The sequence below is a fragment of the Homo sapiens genome, chromosome 12 (assembly GCF_000001405.40).
Source record: "Homo sapiens chromosome 12, GRCh38.p14 Primary Assembly".
Classification (NCBI taxonomy): domain Eukaryota; kingdom Metazoa; phylum Chordata; class Mammalia; order Primates; family Hominidae; genus Homo; species Homo sapiens.
In genome coordinates this window covers 39930292-39947621 of record NC_000012.12, presented here as the reverse complement: position 1 = coordinate 39947621, position 17330 = coordinate 39930292, and the positions used below count along the sequence as shown (strand labels likewise).

General features: G+C 39.8%; 1 protein-coding gene across 8 annotated transcripts in view, besides 1 other annotated feature; it reads left to right on the top strand.

Annotated features, from left to right (window-relative positions):
- Nucleotides 1-17330, top strand: part of SLC2A13 (solute carrier family 2 member 13) — a 351057-nt gene that overhangs the window by 158460 nt on the left and 175267 nt on the right. The window lies entirely within an intron of this gene.
- Nucleotides 410-909: an enhancer, noted in NCBI's record as "H3K27ac hESC enhancer chr12:40340515-40341014 (GRCh37/hg19 assembly coordinates)". NCBI's record gives its function as "activates a minimal SCP1, AML or CMV promoter by ChIP-STARR-seq in primed H9 embryonic stem cells {active_cell/tissue: H9 hESC(primed)}" and the evidence as "EXISTENCE:reporter gene assay evidence [ECO:0000049][PMID:30033119]".

Genomic DNA, 17330 nt, shown 5'->3' with positions numbered 1-17330 from the left:
AATATCAAAGATGTTCCATGTTCAATCTAAGAAATATTTATCTGATGACTATTAATAAATAGACACTTCCCACATTATCATTACCACAACCTAAATACATGTGTTCATGTTTGGAGGAGGAAAGGTGTACGTAGGTAGTGAGAAAGAAAACACTAAGTTCTATGTGGGTTTGATAACATCTTTCTTTTTTGGGGAACTTGAAGTAAACTATATTTTGGTATATTCTGATAAGCAGATAATCAGTCTGTCTTGGATGAATGAAAGGTATCAGATTTTTACCTAAGAAGACCAAGTGGTTAAATGACTCTCTTTTAAGGTTACACAGAAAAACAGTAGTAAAGGGGGAAAGAAAATCCAGAGTTTAAGCTTTTGAGTTTGCTTCGGATAAAGAGAACTGTGGGGGAATCTTCTCTGGGGCATTTGGTCTTTTACTTTTTAGCCACTCTCCTTGCAGAGTAATATTGCCAGCTTTATTTCCTCTTCTTACTTTTCTGTCTTCTATTAACTCAGAGTAATAGAAGCTGAGTCAAGTTAGAGAGCTGAGTCAAGTTAGACAGGCAAGTGAAATAAGCGGGTAGAGGAAGCAGCAGAAAGGCCCTGGGAGCTTGCTGGATCCCAAGCAGCCCATTCCTGCCTGGCACCACAGTGATCCATCAGGAGAGTGGCCAGAGGAGCAGGGGGTAAAAGTCCACAGGGAGAAGAAATTCTGTAGCTGAACTTGGTAACAATTTGAATGGGGCAAGAAGCCTCCTGGCCATAAGGGAGGACGCAAATGGGGCGTTCATACTTCACAGGCCGGGGGAAAAACTAAAGCCCTTTTCTTTCACAACTGGGAGGCGGACAGCCTTGGGCAAATTTTCAAGCCCATCTCGCCCTCCGCCTGGAAACAGACTTGGGGCTGTTGCGGGAACATGGTGGGAGTGAGACCGGCTCTTCCGTTTGCGTGAGAGTTGGGTGAGGCCTGTGACTGCCAGCTTTCACCCACTTCCCTGACAATCTGCATGACTCAGCAGAGGGAGCCATAATCCTCCTAGGTACACAACTCCAATGACCTGGGAATCTCACCCTCAACCCCCACAGCAGCCACAGCAAGACCCGCCCAAGGAGAGTTTGAGCTCAGACATGCCTAGTCTCGCCCCTACTTCATGGTCCTTTCCTATCCATCCTGGTAGTGGAAGACAAAGGACATATAATCTTGGGAGTTCTAGGGCTCTGCCCACTGCCAGTCCCTCTCCACACTACTACAGCTGATGCTTTCTGGAAAGTTCCACCTAATGGCAGGAAGCCAACCAGCACAAAAATAGAGCGTTAAACCACCAAAATTAAGAACCCTCATGGGGTCCATTGCAACCTGCTCCCCACAACCTCCACTGGAACAGGCGCTGGTATCCACTGCTGAGAGACCCATAGGCGGTTCACATCACAGGACTCTGTGTAGACAACCTGCAATACCAGCCTGGAGCCAGGTAGACTCGCTGCGTGGCTAGACCCAGAAGAGAGACAACAAACACTGCAGTTCAGCTCATAGGAAGCCACATCCATAGGAAAAGGGGGAGAGTATTACATCAAGGGAACACCCTGTGGGACAAAAGAATCTGAACGACAGCCTTCAGCCCTAGACCTTCCCTCTGACTGATCCTACCCAAATAAGAAGGAACCAGAAGGCCAACCATGGCTATATGACAAAACAAGGCTCTTCAACACCCCCCCACAAAAAATCACGCTAATTCACCAGCAGTGGATGCAAACCAAGAAGAAATCCCTGATTTACCTGAAAAATAATTCAGGAGGTTAGTTATTAAGCTAATCAGGGAGGGACCAGAGAAGAGCAAAGCCCACTGCAAGGAAATCCAAAAAATGATACAAGAAGTGAAGGGAGAAATATTCATGGGAATAGATAGCTTAAAGAAAAACAATAAAAAATTCAGGAAACTTTGGACACACTTTTAGAAATGCAAAATGCTCTGGGAAGTGTCAGAAACAGAATTGAACAAGTAGAAGAAAGAAATTCAGAGCTCAATGACATGGTCTTTGAATTAATCCAATCCAACAAAGACAAAGAAAAAAAATAAGAAAATATGAACAAAGCCTATAAGAAGTCTGGGATTATGTTAAATGACCAAACCTAAGAATAATCGGCATAGCTGAGAAGAGAATTCTAAAAGCCTGGAAAACATATTTGGGGGAATAATCGAGGAAAACTTCCCCAGCCTTGCTAGAGACCTAGACATCCAAATACAAGAGGCACAAAGAACACCTGGAAAATTCATCACAAAAAGACCTTCACCTAGGCACATTATCAGGTTACCCAAAGTTAAGATGAAGGAAAGAATCTTAAGAGCTGTGAGACAGAAACACCAGGTAACCTATAAAAGAAAACCTATCAGATGAACAGCAGATTTCTCAGCAGAAACCCTACCAGCTAGAAAGGATTGAGGACCCATCTTCAGCCTCCTCAAATAAAATTATCAGCCAAGAATTTTGTTTCCAGAGAAACTAAGCATCATATATGAAGGAAGGATACAGTCATTTTCAGACAAACAAATGCTGAGAGAATTTGTCATTACCAAACCACCACTACAAGAACTGCTAAACGGAGCTCTAAATCTTGAAACAAATCCTGGAAACACCTCAAAACAGAAACTCTTTAAAGCAAAAATCACACAGCACCTATAAAACAAAAATGCACATTAAAAAGAAAAAACAGAAAACAAAAACCAAAGTACCCAGGCAAGAAAGAGCATGATGAAAGCAACAGTACCTCACATTTCAATACAAACATTGAATGTAAATGACCTAAATGCTCCACTTAAAAGATACAGAACTGCAGAATGCATAAGAACTCACAGACCAACTATCTGCCGCTTTCAGGAGACTCACCTAACACATAAGGACCCACATAAACTTAAAGGGGTAGAAAATGGCATTTCATGCAAATGGACACCAAAAGCAAGCAGGGGGTAGCTATTCTTATATCAGACAAAACAAACTTTAAAGCAATAGCAGTTCAAAGAAACAAAGAGGGACAGTATATAATGGTAAAAGGCCTTGTCCAACAGTAAAATATCACAATCCTAAACATGTGCACCTAACACTGGAGCTCCGAATTTATAAAACAATTACTAATAGACCTAAGAAATGAGATAGACAGCAACACAATAATAGTGGGAGACTTCAGTACTCCACTGACAGCACTAGACAGGTCATCAAGACAAAAAGTCAACAAAGAAACAGTGGATTTAAACTATACCTTGGAACAAATGGACTTAACAGATACATATAGAACATTTCATCCAACAAGTGCAGAATGCACATTCTATTCAGCAGCACATGGAACTGTCTCCAAGATAGAGCATATGATAGGCCATAAAATGAGCCTCAATAAGTTTAAGAAAATTAAAATTATATTAAGCACTCTTTCAAATCACAGTGGAATAAAACTGGAAATCAACTCCAAAAGGAACTTTCAAAACCATGCAAATACATGGAAATTAAATAACCTGCTCCTGAATGAGCGTTGGGCCAAAAATGACATCAACATGGAAATTTAAAAATTCTTCGAACTGAATGATAATGACACAACCTATCAAAACCTCTGGGTTACAGCAAAGGTGATGCTAAGAGGAAAGTTCATAGCCCTAAATGCCTACATCAAAGTCTGTCTTGCTGGTGTTACAGGTGCCACTGGGGTGTGAAAAAAAACTCCTGCAGCTAGCTCAGTGTCTGCCCAAACGTCCACCCAGTTTTGTACTTGAAACCTAGGGTGCTGATGGTGTAGGCTCCCAAGGGAATCTCCTGGTCTGCGGTTTGCAAAGACCGTGGGAAAAGCATAGTATTGGGGCCAGAATGCACTGTCCTTCATGGCACAGTCCCTCATGGCTTCCCTGCTAGGGAGCCAAGTGGTCTAGCTCAGTGGATCCCACCCCACGGAGCCCAGCAAGCTAAGATCCACTGGCTTGAAATTCTCACTGCCAGCACAGCAGTCTGAAATCGACCTGGGATACTTGAGCTTGCTGGGCGGAGGGGCGTCCACCATTACTGAGGCTTGAATAGGCTGTTTTTCCCTCACAGTGTAAACAAAGCTGCAGGGAAGTTCCAACTGGGCAGATCCCACCACAGCTCAGCAAAGCCACTGTAGCCAGACTGCCTCTCTAGATTCCTTCTCTCTGGGCAGGGCCTCTCTGAAAGAAAGGCAGCAGCCCCAGTCAGGGCCTTATAGATCAAACTCCCGTCTTCCTGGAACAGAGCCCCTGGGAGAAGGGGTGGCTGTGGGCACAGCTTCAGCAGACTTAAATATTGCTGCCTGCTGGCTCTGAAGAGAGCAGCTAATCTCCCAGCACAGCACTCAAACTCTGCTAAGAGACAGACTCCTTCCTCAAGTGGGTCCCTGATCCCCATGCCTCCTGACTGGGAGACACCTCCCAGCAGGGGTCGACAGACACCTCATACAGGAGAGCTCTGGCTGGCATCTGGCAGGTGCCCCTCTGGGACGAAGCTTCCAGAGGAAGGAACAGGCAGCAGTCTTTGCTGTTCCACAGTCTCCGCTGGTGATACAGGCAGATGGCCTGGAGTGGACCTCCAGCAAACTCCGGCAGATCTGCAGGAGAGGGGCCTGACTGTTACAAGGAAAACTAACAAACAGAAAGGAATAGCATCAACATCAACAAAAAGGACATCCACAGAGAAACTCCAGCTGAAGGTCACCAACATCAAAGACCAGAGGTAGATAAATCCATGAAGATGAGGAAAAACCAGCACAAAAAGGCTGAAAATTCCAAAAACCAGAAAACCTCATCTTCAAAGGATCACAACTCCTCACCAGCAAGGGAACAAAACTGGACTGAGAATGAGTTTGATGAATTGACAGAAGTAGTTTTCAGAAGGTGGATAATAACAAACTCCTCCGAGCTAAAGGAGCATGTTCTCACCCGATGCAAGGAAGCTATGAACCTTGAAAAAACGTTAGAGGAAATAATTGCTAACGAGAATAACCAGAGGAATAATTTTCCTCTAGAAAGCTCTGAGAACTGATAAAATAATTCAGCAAAGTTTCCTGGTACAAGATTAATATACACAAATCAGTAGCTCTTCTATACACCAACAGCAACCAAGCAGAGAATCAAATCAAGAACTCAACCCCTTCTACAATAGCTGCAAAAAAATATAAAATACTTAGAAATATACCTAACAAAGGGGTTGAAAGACCTCTACAGGGAAAACTACAAAACACTACTGAAAGAAGTCACAGATGACACAAACAAATGGAAACACATCCCATGCTCATGGATGGGTAGAATCAATATTGTGAACATGACCATACTGCCAAAAGCAGTCTACAGATTTAATACAATCCCCATCAGACTACCACCATCATTCTTCACAGAATTAGAAAAAAACAGTTCTAAAATTCATATGGAACCAAAAAAGAGCCCACATAGCCAAAGCAAGACTAAGCAAAAAGAACAAATCTGGAGGCATCACACTACCTGATTTCAAACTATACTGTAAGGCCATAGTCACCAAAACAGCATGGTACTGGTATAAAAATAGGCACATAACCAATGGAACAGAATAGAGAACCCAGAAATAAACCCAAATCCTTAAGGCCAACTGATCTTCGACAATGCAAACAAAAACATAAAGTGGAGAAAGGACATCCTTTTCAACAGATGGTGTTGGGATGATTGGCTAGCCACATGTAGGAGAATGAAACTGGATCCTCATCTCTCACCTTATGAAAAATCAACTCAAAATGGATTAAGGACTTAAACCCAAGACCTGAAACTATAAAAATTCTAGAAGATAACATTGGAAGAAACCCTTCAAGACACTGGCTTAGGCAAGGATTTCATGACCAAGAACACAAAAGCAAATGCAATAAAAACAAAGATAAATAATTGGGACCTCCCACAGAGTGGGAGAAAATCTTCACAATCTATACATCTGACAAAGGACTAATATCCAGAATCCACAATGAACTCAAACAAATCAGTAAGAAAAAAACAATCCCATCAAAAAGTAGGCTCAGGACATGAATAGACAATTCTCAACAGGATATATAGAAATGGCCAACAAACATGAAAAAATGCTCAACATCACTAATGATCAGGGAAGTGCAAATCAAAACCACAATGCAATACCACCTTACTCCTGTAGGAATGGCCATGATCAAAAAATCAAAAAACAGTGGATGTTGGCATGGATGTGGTCAACAGGGAGCACTTCTACACTGCTGGTGGGAATGTAAACTAGTACAGCTACTATGGAAAACAGCGTGGAGATTCCTTAAAGAACTAGAAGTAGAACTACCATTTGATCCAGCAATCCCACTACTAGGTATCTACCCAGAGGAAAATAAGTCATTATTCGAAAAAGATACTTGCACACGCATGTTTATAGCAGCACAATTCACAATTGCAAAGTCATGGGACCAACCCAAATGCCCATCAATCAACAAGTGGATAAAGAAACTGATTCATATATATATATATATATATATATGATGGAATACTATGCAGCTATAAAAAGGAATGAATCATATATATATGATGGAATACTATGCAGCTATAAAAAGGAATTAATTAACAGCATTTGCACTGACCTAGATGAGATTGGAGACTATTATTCTAAGTGATGTAACAGCAATGGAAAACCAAACATCATATGTTCTCACTGATATGGGGGAGCTAAGCTATGAGGACGCAAAGGTGTAAGAATGATACAGTGGACTTTGGGGACTTGAGGGGGAAGAGTGGGATGGGGGTGAGGGATAAGAGACTACAAATATGGTGCAGTATATACTGCTTGGGTGATGGGTGCACCAAAATCTCACAAATCACCACTAAAGAAGTTACTCATGTAGCCAAATACCACCTGTACCCCAATAATGTATAGAAAAACGAATAAATAAAATATTATAAGTTTATATATTTTAAATAAACAACCTAAAATGGCTTTTTGTGTGCTAAAAAAAAATCACAGCCATCTCAAGAACCATTAACCTCATCAGGTTCTTAAGTTTTCTGGTACCTAGCTAAGTTCTTTGATTTATATCCTGATCTAGAGTTCCTGGACAAGCTAGGCTGATGGTTGAATGAGTCATTCATACTTGTTAATCATATTTAATTTAATTTTCTAAGTGCAGTATTTCTGGATCTGTTCCATTCTCATATTCTATCCTCAACAAGCACAGCTGGTATTAAAAAAAAAAATTACCACGCAATCAGGAAACATAGCACAAGCACACATGGTCAGATGGTGATAAATGTAGAGAAGAATAAAGGTGGCAGGAAATAAGAAATAAAACAATAAGGGTTTGTACACTTTCAGGTTGTAAATCTGAACCAGGAATGGGGTTTTACTCTCTGAGGTCTTCCACAATGCAGGATGAATGTATTAGAGCAGCATCTCTCTAAAGTGTCTTCCCCTCTCTGCCTCCCTAGTCCAAAAAGCTGTTGAAAGATAAAATGTTTACTCATCGAAGTATTTCCAGATTAGTGAATTGTACTCATTCGTGTTCATTGGCTGGAAGTTAGTGAATTAATGGGAAAATGTTAGGATTTATGGCTCACTCTTTTGAAAAATGAGTGTCATGTGAGGGGAAGAATATTAACCCAGGAATCAGGAAAATTAGATTCAAGGTCTGTCTCCACCATGGGACTCTGGGCATGCCAGTTAATTGCTTTCAGTCTAATTACCTATAAAGTGAAGTAGATGGACTTTTAATGTGCATTTGAATGAGGACAAATGGAGTTTCATGGAGTTTCAAGTAGAATGGAAGCTAAAACGTTTGAAATAGTAATACTTTAAGCCTTTCTTGGATGAAAAGTTATCAGACTGTAGAAAAATAGTTTTGGCCTAAAAAGAAAATTGTACTTTGTTCAACAAAATTTTTGGAATATTTATTAAATGCTTACCACATGCTGATCATTGTCTTAGAGGCCTAGCTTCTTATATGTTAAGACCATATTTTTATTTCCCAATCATGTCTTTGAAGAAAGACAATCTAGGTTATGGCTGATAATGCCTCTTTATCCCAAGATTGTGTAGCAGACTTATCACCTGATGTGATAGACTTTCCTTGGCTCCCATAATGTAGGAGTAGGCTCAAGCCCTATGAACTCCACTGGCTTCTCAGCTCATGTGCACACGGTTTATAAGGGAAAGGGTGTACTTTCTCCCTCTGGAGTCTAAAACCCTTTTTGATGGCAGGTAGGTAACTCACTATCCTAGCAAACAAAACAAAGCATTCTCATCAGAGGAGGCTTGGAGCAGAATGCCTTTATAGCGAGCTATCAGAATGTTTCTAATCATTTTCCATTTCCCTGTGTATATATTGCATACCTGTCTCTGTTTAGGTTGCCCCAAAACCAGGCCCTAAGACAAGGACTTGGGTGCAGATGATATTTTGGGGACGATATCAAGAGGATGAGAAAAGGAGTAAGGGAAGTGGAATAGAGAAGGAAGAAGAGGCAGTAAAGAGAGCATTGGTAAGCAGGCTATGTCAGTAGGCAACTGGAGCACAGTCCTGCTGAGTACTCTCCAAGGAACAGTGTAGATTGTCCTCAGAATTAGTCCAGGGGTATTTATCCACAATCCCCATTCCCTCAACTTGAGTGTTGACCCTGCGGATGTTAAATGCACTTCCTCCAGGCTTTCCTGAGAAATCACTTATGGTGCCAGAGCTGTCATGTAGACAAGTAGAGAGACAAAGAAAGTTGAGCTAGAAACTGTCAGATTCTATAGTGAGTTTCCATGATGGCTGCAGGGTAATTCAGAGGGTGATCTAGAGCATATGGGGCAAGGCATGAAAAGCACCTCTGAAAAATCCTGTCTCCAAATATGTGTAAAAATAAGTTAGCACAATATGGATGTGAACTTTCTTAGTACTGTTCATGGATACAGCAAATCCATTTTTAGTAAAAAAAAAAAAAAAGTCAATGATCCCTGGCTAACCATGTGGAAAATAACCAATAAAAATTGGAGATTCATGCTAACAAATGATGAAAATATATTTTCTTGAATATTATTATCCTTTTTTCTTTGTATGATTCACAAATAATTTTGTCCTGTTACAGGAATCTGAAAAATACATCATTAATGTATGTATGTATTTATGCCTTCAACCAATATTTACTGTATCATTGCTGTACATTCAAATCCCTACCTAGGGATTGAAGGGGACACAAACAAATGATTTTTGTTGTGTTTTTTTTTTTAAAGTTTCTTTAAATGGAGTTATTTTGTGTGCGGAAACATGGTACATCAAATATTAATACAACCTTTGGTGTTAGATCTGGATTTGAATCCAAACCCAACACACCTACTCTCTGTGTAAACTCCACAAGCTACATAATAACTTCTCAGGTCCTCAGTGATTTGGAAATCAGGAATTATAATACCTCCCAAATGTGATTACATGAGAAAGCATGTATGATTGAGGCCCATGGGAGCAACTACATCTGTGTTCACTTTCCTTCTGCTCCCTGTGTACTGCAGTTTATAAAGTCCCAGGCGTTTGTGGAAAGCAGAAACATCCCACCGTTAATCCACCTTCTTTACCCTCTACCCGTCGATACAGGATTTGAGGCATCCTCTGGAGACACAAAATTGCTATAATACCCTTCTTTTATGCATGTCTCTATTTTCAAAATTCAGGAAAGAATCATGATGGTGTTCTTCTAGCTTGTACATGTTATAGTAGTGCCCTTCACTTCAATATTAGATATGTTCTTTTCATCTTAGATTTATGTCAAGGAGAAAAGACCTCGATGACCTTAGGATGATAAGATCTAATAAAGCCTCCTTAGATGGTGGGGGATCTGTAGCTAAATATGCCCAATGTGGCGTGACTTGTAGTTTACATCAAAAGATTGTCAAATCCTTTTGTCATGCTTCCTGAATCAGATGTGAATTTAAGGTTCTGTGGTAATTAGTGGAAATTCATCTCCATGGTTTGTAAAGTATCAGCAACTAAGGTTTCAGGTGCCTCAGGACATCTTTAGAAATATGAAAACATATTTCCTTGCCTTCCTTTTTCTGAATTATATATTTCACTGAAAGGTAAGGAGAAGAAATGGAGGTGCTGTTAATGAGTTGAAATAGCATGAAGTCCAGGGATGTGTCCCAGAAAATAGACTTTCTGTGCCAATAAAGCAGAACCTTGTCCCCAATATATCTGAGTTTGAAGGTAACACCAGTCTGGCTGATTCCGGGTAGACTATTGTAACATTGTAGAAGTGCCCAGGTCTTAATTCACTCTTTACACACACAGGTAGCAGGCACTCTGCCAGGGACCAGAGATACACAATATGACTTACACCATTTTCAGGGAACTTATGGTCTCTTTTGCTTATCTTTAAAAGCATATGCTGTGACCTGTCTTGAAAGGTTGCTTGAAGATGAAATAAGACAGCAAAGTGCCAGCCACAAAAGATGTGAGGAAGTTCTATTTTCCTCTTCCCAGATTTACATTTATTCTTCTCTATGAGTTCACTATCCAGGCTCTCATCACTTGGCCATGGTTCTTCTGAAAAAATTTTCCCTCACCACAGCATTTCAACTTAAATCTCCTTCATGGCTTTTCCTACTCAATTTGAACCGTAATGGTGGTGCTGTCCAAGTCTTGGCTTGCAACTCTACTCAGAGACCTATTCCAGTCCCATTAGGCCAATGACCATCTACATGTTAAAGAAGACCTAATCTGTAGTTGCAGGTCAGAACTCCTCTGCCATACACACTCATATATTCAACTGCTGGACATTTCTACTTTTGAATATTCCACTCTCACCAGTCTCAGTATGCCTAAAACTGAATCCCTATCACTTTCTGCCAATTCTGCCCCTCCCCTTATAATCCTCTTCTCAATGATGCATGTGGCCAGTTGGCTGCCCGAGCCTTTAGCTTGAGAGTGAACACATCCAAATCCAATCAGCTGTAATTTCCTTCAATTTTATATCCCTAATATCTCTTGTATCCTTCCTATGATCTTCATTCCATTTTCTGTCAGGCCTTGCTTTAGTCAGAGCTCATATTATTTGCAACAGAATCCCACTTAAACCTAACTTTAAAAAGATAAGTTGGTGTACAATAAGGAAATAGGGCCTAAAGGCAGGAAATATAGCTGGGCCTGGCAGAGGGTTGAAATCAGAAACTAGAGAGTCACTTGCTCAGCTTCTGTGTGCCCAAGGTTTTTTGCTGTTATTTCTGTAGGGTATATGCACCCTTCTTCTTTCTCTTAGAGAACATCCTCTTCTCTTGCTTGTATCTGGTCAATCTCTACCACCATAACTTTGGAGGTACTTCTAGTTCAAGCATCCACAATAGATTGGAATTGTCACAATTCTTAATTCCCAAAGAGAAAAAGATCAAAGTGAACCTACCCTAGCCTGAGCATTTGAGGGCAGGGGGCTTGACAACACTGTAGAGGGATGCACAGAGGATTTTCCTGCCTTAAATCTCAACTTCCTCAATTGAGCCTTGGTTATCTCTGCCTCTAAACTTTCTGCAACAAAATCAATTATGTCTCATCTTGACATAAATGATTTAATGTGTCCCACAGCTTTCAGCGAAGTTCAAAGTCCAGGGCCCTTTGTGGCTTTTGCCCATCTTTGCACTGCTTCATGTCCAACCACTGCCCTACGCAAGGGTATATAAAGAAGGGTGTGTAAAGCTACAAGTTTCATAACTTCTCAGGGCATCAGTGATCTGGAAATCAGGAATTATAATTAGGCACAAAGATGAGATGTATAAGGTATAAAAAGGTACATGTACCTCCTGCTACATGGAACCTCCTGTACTTCTGGCAATGATTAAAGCTAATCCAAGCTTCAGTGCCTTCATGTGTGCCATTCTCCCTAGCTGAAATAGCTAGCTTACCCTAAAAGACTTCCAAACTTAGGTCACATGTCATCTCCCTGAACCAAGGGGCCAATGTAAATGTTCCCCTTCTGGCCTCCTTTAGCACTCTGAGTGGATATCTATGAATAGTTATTTATTATATTATAACTGCAGATGTGTCTATTTCCTCCAAAAGACCGTACACATACTAAAAATGCCCCCTTGCAATATTCCCCAGGGAGAACCAGCTAGATTTTAGTTACTACTGACTGTTTTGTTTTTATTCTGTTCATATCCAGAGTCATAGCATGATGTATAAGGGGAATGAGTCACTCTCTGATAGTGTGAGTCTTCCTTAACTAGTCTGCAGACATGACCTTAGGAAAATAAAAGCCACAACATTCAAGCTTTGAGAAGAGGATCTTTCAAAAATGTTGCCAAGTTAGTCCTGACCTTTAGAATTAGAATTAGTGACAGGCTATAATGACATATCTAATGATTTATAATATTGGATAGGTTTTCATAATTTTATTTATTTATTTATTTTTCCCTTCTTGAGGAGAATGGGGTCTTGCTATGTTGCCCAGGCAGGTCTTAAACTCCTGGGCTCAAGCTATCTTCCCACCTCTGCCTTCCTAAGTGTTGGGATTGCAGGCATGAGCCACCGGTCCCAGCCATAAATTTAATTTGGATTTCAACACTGAAGATTTCCATAAAGTATTCTTCAAGTCATATCTCTTTCTCTTGGTTCCTTCTTTCTGAGGGCAGGTGAAAATCTAAGTTAGTCAGTTCTGTTCAAATTTGTGATTATGCTTCCTGTGGCTGATAGAATTGCAGGATTTCAAATGCTATTAAGCCGCTCCATGCAGAGACAAATAGTCTGATGACCTGCCATTCATGGCAGGAAGAGAAATGAACAGTGTTTCTTGCTAGAACTTCTTCATTTATTTCGATAAGATCATTTCTTACTGGACAGATTAAACCTTAGAGAACTACATATAAGGTTCTCCTATTTCTATTTTTGAAAAAACACTCAGTACCAGAAAATATAGAAAATGTATAAAGTAGATTTAACTGTGAAATTTCAACTTTAGTTTCCAGCATAGAATTAACAGCCTCCTCCTGGATTCTTCCAATGATCCCTCTGTAATGTCCCTAAGTCTCTTTCCTCAGCTGCTTATCCAAAAGTGTAATCATTTATCTAAGACTGTTTGCAAGGACCAAATTTAGTCCTCAGGCATGCCTTCTTTAGAAAGTGCAGTTTTTACATTTGTTAAATTACACATTAAAGTCCACATTTCCAGAGATGGCATTGCCTCTTGGAGATGATGTAGGTCCTCTCCCGTTCCCTGCATTCCCTGCTGCTCCACATAACCTGGCCTCATCTATGCCTTTGAGGTTGTGCCACCTGTCCTAAGGAATCAACATTCGATTAGCATTCTACTTAGAACTTTCACCATATATGTCCTGTTCTGGGCTGGGTTGAAAAGAAAGCTGACAATTAGAGTGGCTCTGGTTTTAGGAATTGCTAGTTGTTATGTCAACAGCTATGGACATTCATAGAATCTTCAGTTTCATTTTTTATCCCCAAGACCTTCATTTCACATTAAAAGAATTCTTTTTGAGGCTGTGTGCACAAGGCTGCTATTTGCCACCCCTTACAATCCCTTTTTATCAACTAACAGGGAGTTAGGTCATAGCTAACTTAAGATTCAGAATCAGACAGACTATCTAACAATATTGCTAGAATTAACTGAAATATCATAGTTAATCTACTCTAATGTGACTAAGTCATAGAAGCTTATTTTTTATTATTTTATCTGGCATTAGACAGACCTGGAATCAAATTTCTTGTTTCCTGACCACTTGTGCTACCTTGAGTAATTTATACAGACACTCTAAGTCTCAACTTTCTTATTTGTAGATGGCATGATACTTTTCAGGGTTGTGTTTTTTCCCCATTCTTACCCATCTCAGTGAGTGATACTACTATCCCTCTAGTTGCTCAGGCCTCAAATCCAGGATTTTGGCCAGGAATCTTTGATTCTCCTTTTATCTGTACTCCTCATATCTATTTCTTTTGCAAGTCTTAGCACTAAAGCTATGGTTCCTGAACGGCCTGGAGCCACAGGGCACCCTTCACAGGAGACCACAGGATATTTTAAATTTTCAGACGAAATAATGACATAGATGTACTACTACTGTTAAGTAGTATGTACCTTATAAAGTGGAACTGCTAGGTAATTTAGACCTATGTGTGCTATGAAAAAAATTACTGAGACACCAAGGGCACCATGAAGCAAGAAAGTATGGGAACCTCTGCTCTATTATTTAGCATGCATCCTTCCTATATTTATCTTCATTTCACTGCTGCCATCTGCCCAAGTCACTGTTGCCTCTCATCACTTACTGCAATAGCTGGCCTTCCAACTGGTCTTCCTGCATCCATGCTCATCCTTCATAAGCCATGTTCCACAGAGCAACTAGAATGAACTTTGAGAAATGTAGATAAGGTCATAGCTTTCCTTCACAGTTTATTCTTATTTATTTATTGTTAGGCAGGGTCTTGCTCTGTCGCCCAGGCTGGGGTGCAGTGGTGCCATCTCAGCTGACTGTAACCTCTGCCTCCCAGGTTCAACTGATTCTCCTGCCTCAGCCTCCTGAATAGCTGAGATTACAGGCACATGCCCCCACGACTGGCTAATTTTTGTATTTTTTTTGGTAGAGACAGGGTTCCACCATGTTGGCCAGGCTGGTCTTGAACTCCTGACCTCAAGTATCCACCCACCTCAGCCTCCCAAAGTGCTGGGATTACAGGCTCCATTACACTTTAAATCAACCTGGCTTTTCACATGGTCCACAGACTGTGCCTGCTTGTCCCCCATCTTCTCCATCATCCCACCCCCACCTTTATCCCCTGGTTCATTAAGACTTAACTGCCCCAGCTTTTTTCTTTCATGTTTCTCAAAATCTCCAGATTTGTTCTCAACTTAGAGGCTTTTCAGTTGCTTTCCCTTCTGCTAGAAAGATCTTCCTCTGTATCTCATTGTGGCTGCTTCCTTGTCACTTGCGTCTGAATTTAAACAGCACACCTCAGATAGGCCTTGACCTTGTTTGGAACAGCCACCTTTTTCCATCAATATCACATCAATCCATTTTTTCCCGTCATGTTTATCATTGTCTAAAATTCTGCTTATTTATTTGTTTATTAAGCTCCATGGGTAGAGCCCCCATCTGTACTGTTAACCTTTGAACTGTCTCCAGCACACAGTAGGCACTCAAAAAATACTGGTTGCATGAGAAACGCAGACAACTGCTTCATCTATTTCCCTTTTTTGTAACCAGATGTTGACGTTGATGATTGTGCTTCTGTTGCTCCTTTTTTATAGTCAAGTCTTGCTGAACTTTTAAAAGATGAGGAACTAGGTGTTTAGGGGTCATTTTAAGCATTGGATCATTTATTCATATTGCTTTAGTGGTCAAAAAAAGAAGTGTACTACTATTGTACTGTACTTTATTTGAAGTGCCTGATTCCCCCCAATCCTTAGTAAACTGATTAAATAACTGGAAAAAAATATCCATTTTCTATTTCCTACTTTACTGGAGCAATATATAGTAAAATCAAAATCACCCTGTATACTACTTATTCCATTAAAACACCAAACTGAAAGCAGCATGGAAGAAAATGTGTTGCAAGAGCCTTAAGGTTTATTTTTTCACCTTTTCTAGGAAATGAATAAACTAGATTGCCAAGTTATATTGTGCAAGGTCTGTTTTCAGTTTGGGGAGATGAAAGAAAAGAACAGCTACAAGAGTAACAAAATAAAGGTCTTGAATGGGCCTCAATAAAACTATGATATTAGGATAATATACTATTATATAAAATGAATTAAAATTATAATACTATTTTAGTAATTAGTATAAAATCAAAACAACTAAATTTGGATATTTATTTACAATTTTGGATATTTACATTCTGACCATTTGTTTTGTGGGAGGGTATTTTTTTCTTTCATTAGGCTTTGCAGAGTCCATTCCTAACGTACTAGTTGGCTTAAATTTAAAAGTTAAATTGGAATTTACAAGCTCAGTTGAAATTGGGAATCATTTTCCAATAGTGTGTGGCACTTTAAGCTGGTAAACAAAATCCTCTTTTGCCTTACCATATCTGAAATATAAAATCAATCTGTCATTACTATCATAGAACCTCCCAAGTTACAACTCTAAGATTTACAGTGTATTTTCTCCCGACCCCAGCATTCCTATAGCATCAGCTCCAGATGAGAGTAGAATAAAGGAACACAGATACTCAGGAGGCCCACGTGTCTCTGGGTGCAGGTGCAGGTAGGTGCCAGCCACTGCTGGCAGGCGAATAGGGCTGTTGGAAAGGGAGTGGCAACAGCAGAGGCATTGGTAAGGGCAGCTAGTTGTGGTAATGAGAGCTCTGGTCTCATTTAGTAGCAGGCATTAGTAGTAGTACTCATTTAATAGCAGGGCATTTGTTTTGCCCTTGATAAGGGAAGAAAGAAGTAGACGATCCTTATAGTGGTTCTGACAGCAACTGTTAGGGAGGGAGGGGGCGCAAGATTGTTTCTCTGTATCAGTGGTTAGTAAGCTGTATGTTTGGACATAGTATTATCTCTAATATGAATATTTTAGTTGACAATTCAAATGATTTCTAAAGTCAGAAAAACTGAAATGACTGGGGCTTCTCAGAATGAATCATACAGAAATTCAGTATTTATTAACATATTTATTAGAAGGCCAATTTGTGAATTAATTTGGTTATTAAAATTATATTGCTCACTTAGTTTGCATGTATATAATGTGTAAAGGACCAGATAAAAAATGTTGGTAAGCTATTTATTTTAATTGTAGGGTATGAATCAAATTGCTTGACTGCTTTGGAGATTGATCTATTAAAGCACAGTGAAATGAGTTTGCCTAATTTGCTGATTTTAAGGTTTTTTCATTAAACAATAAATGATGTTCTGAAGTCAGAATATTTATGTGGCAGTCACAGTCTTGTTTTAAGGGTATTCATGTTTTTATTTTGAATTTAATTTTTATCACAGTATTACATACACAAAAGTCAAGATACTATAAATCTTACTGTGAAAGGCAGTTGTCCCTGGCCCTCCCTTTCCCATCTCAAATTCTGCTTTCCAGAGGCAATTACTTGCACTTCTTTTAGATTTTTCTTTCAGTATTAACAACTGTATTTTTAAGTGAAAAATATGTATAATTTTTGAAATTCTGCACTGACTTTTCATTATGGAAGATGAAATGCTTCTTCCAACACTGCTCCCCCACAATACACACATTCACATTCACACATTCTTCCTGCCCCTGATATAATTATATCTCATTTTTGGATTAATTAATATATACCATTTTCATTACGATGATGATGGAAATATTGTTCCCCACTGAGCAGCTCTGTGCACTGTGATTAAATTTACTCTGATGTGTGCTGTGAGTCTTCTGTTTGC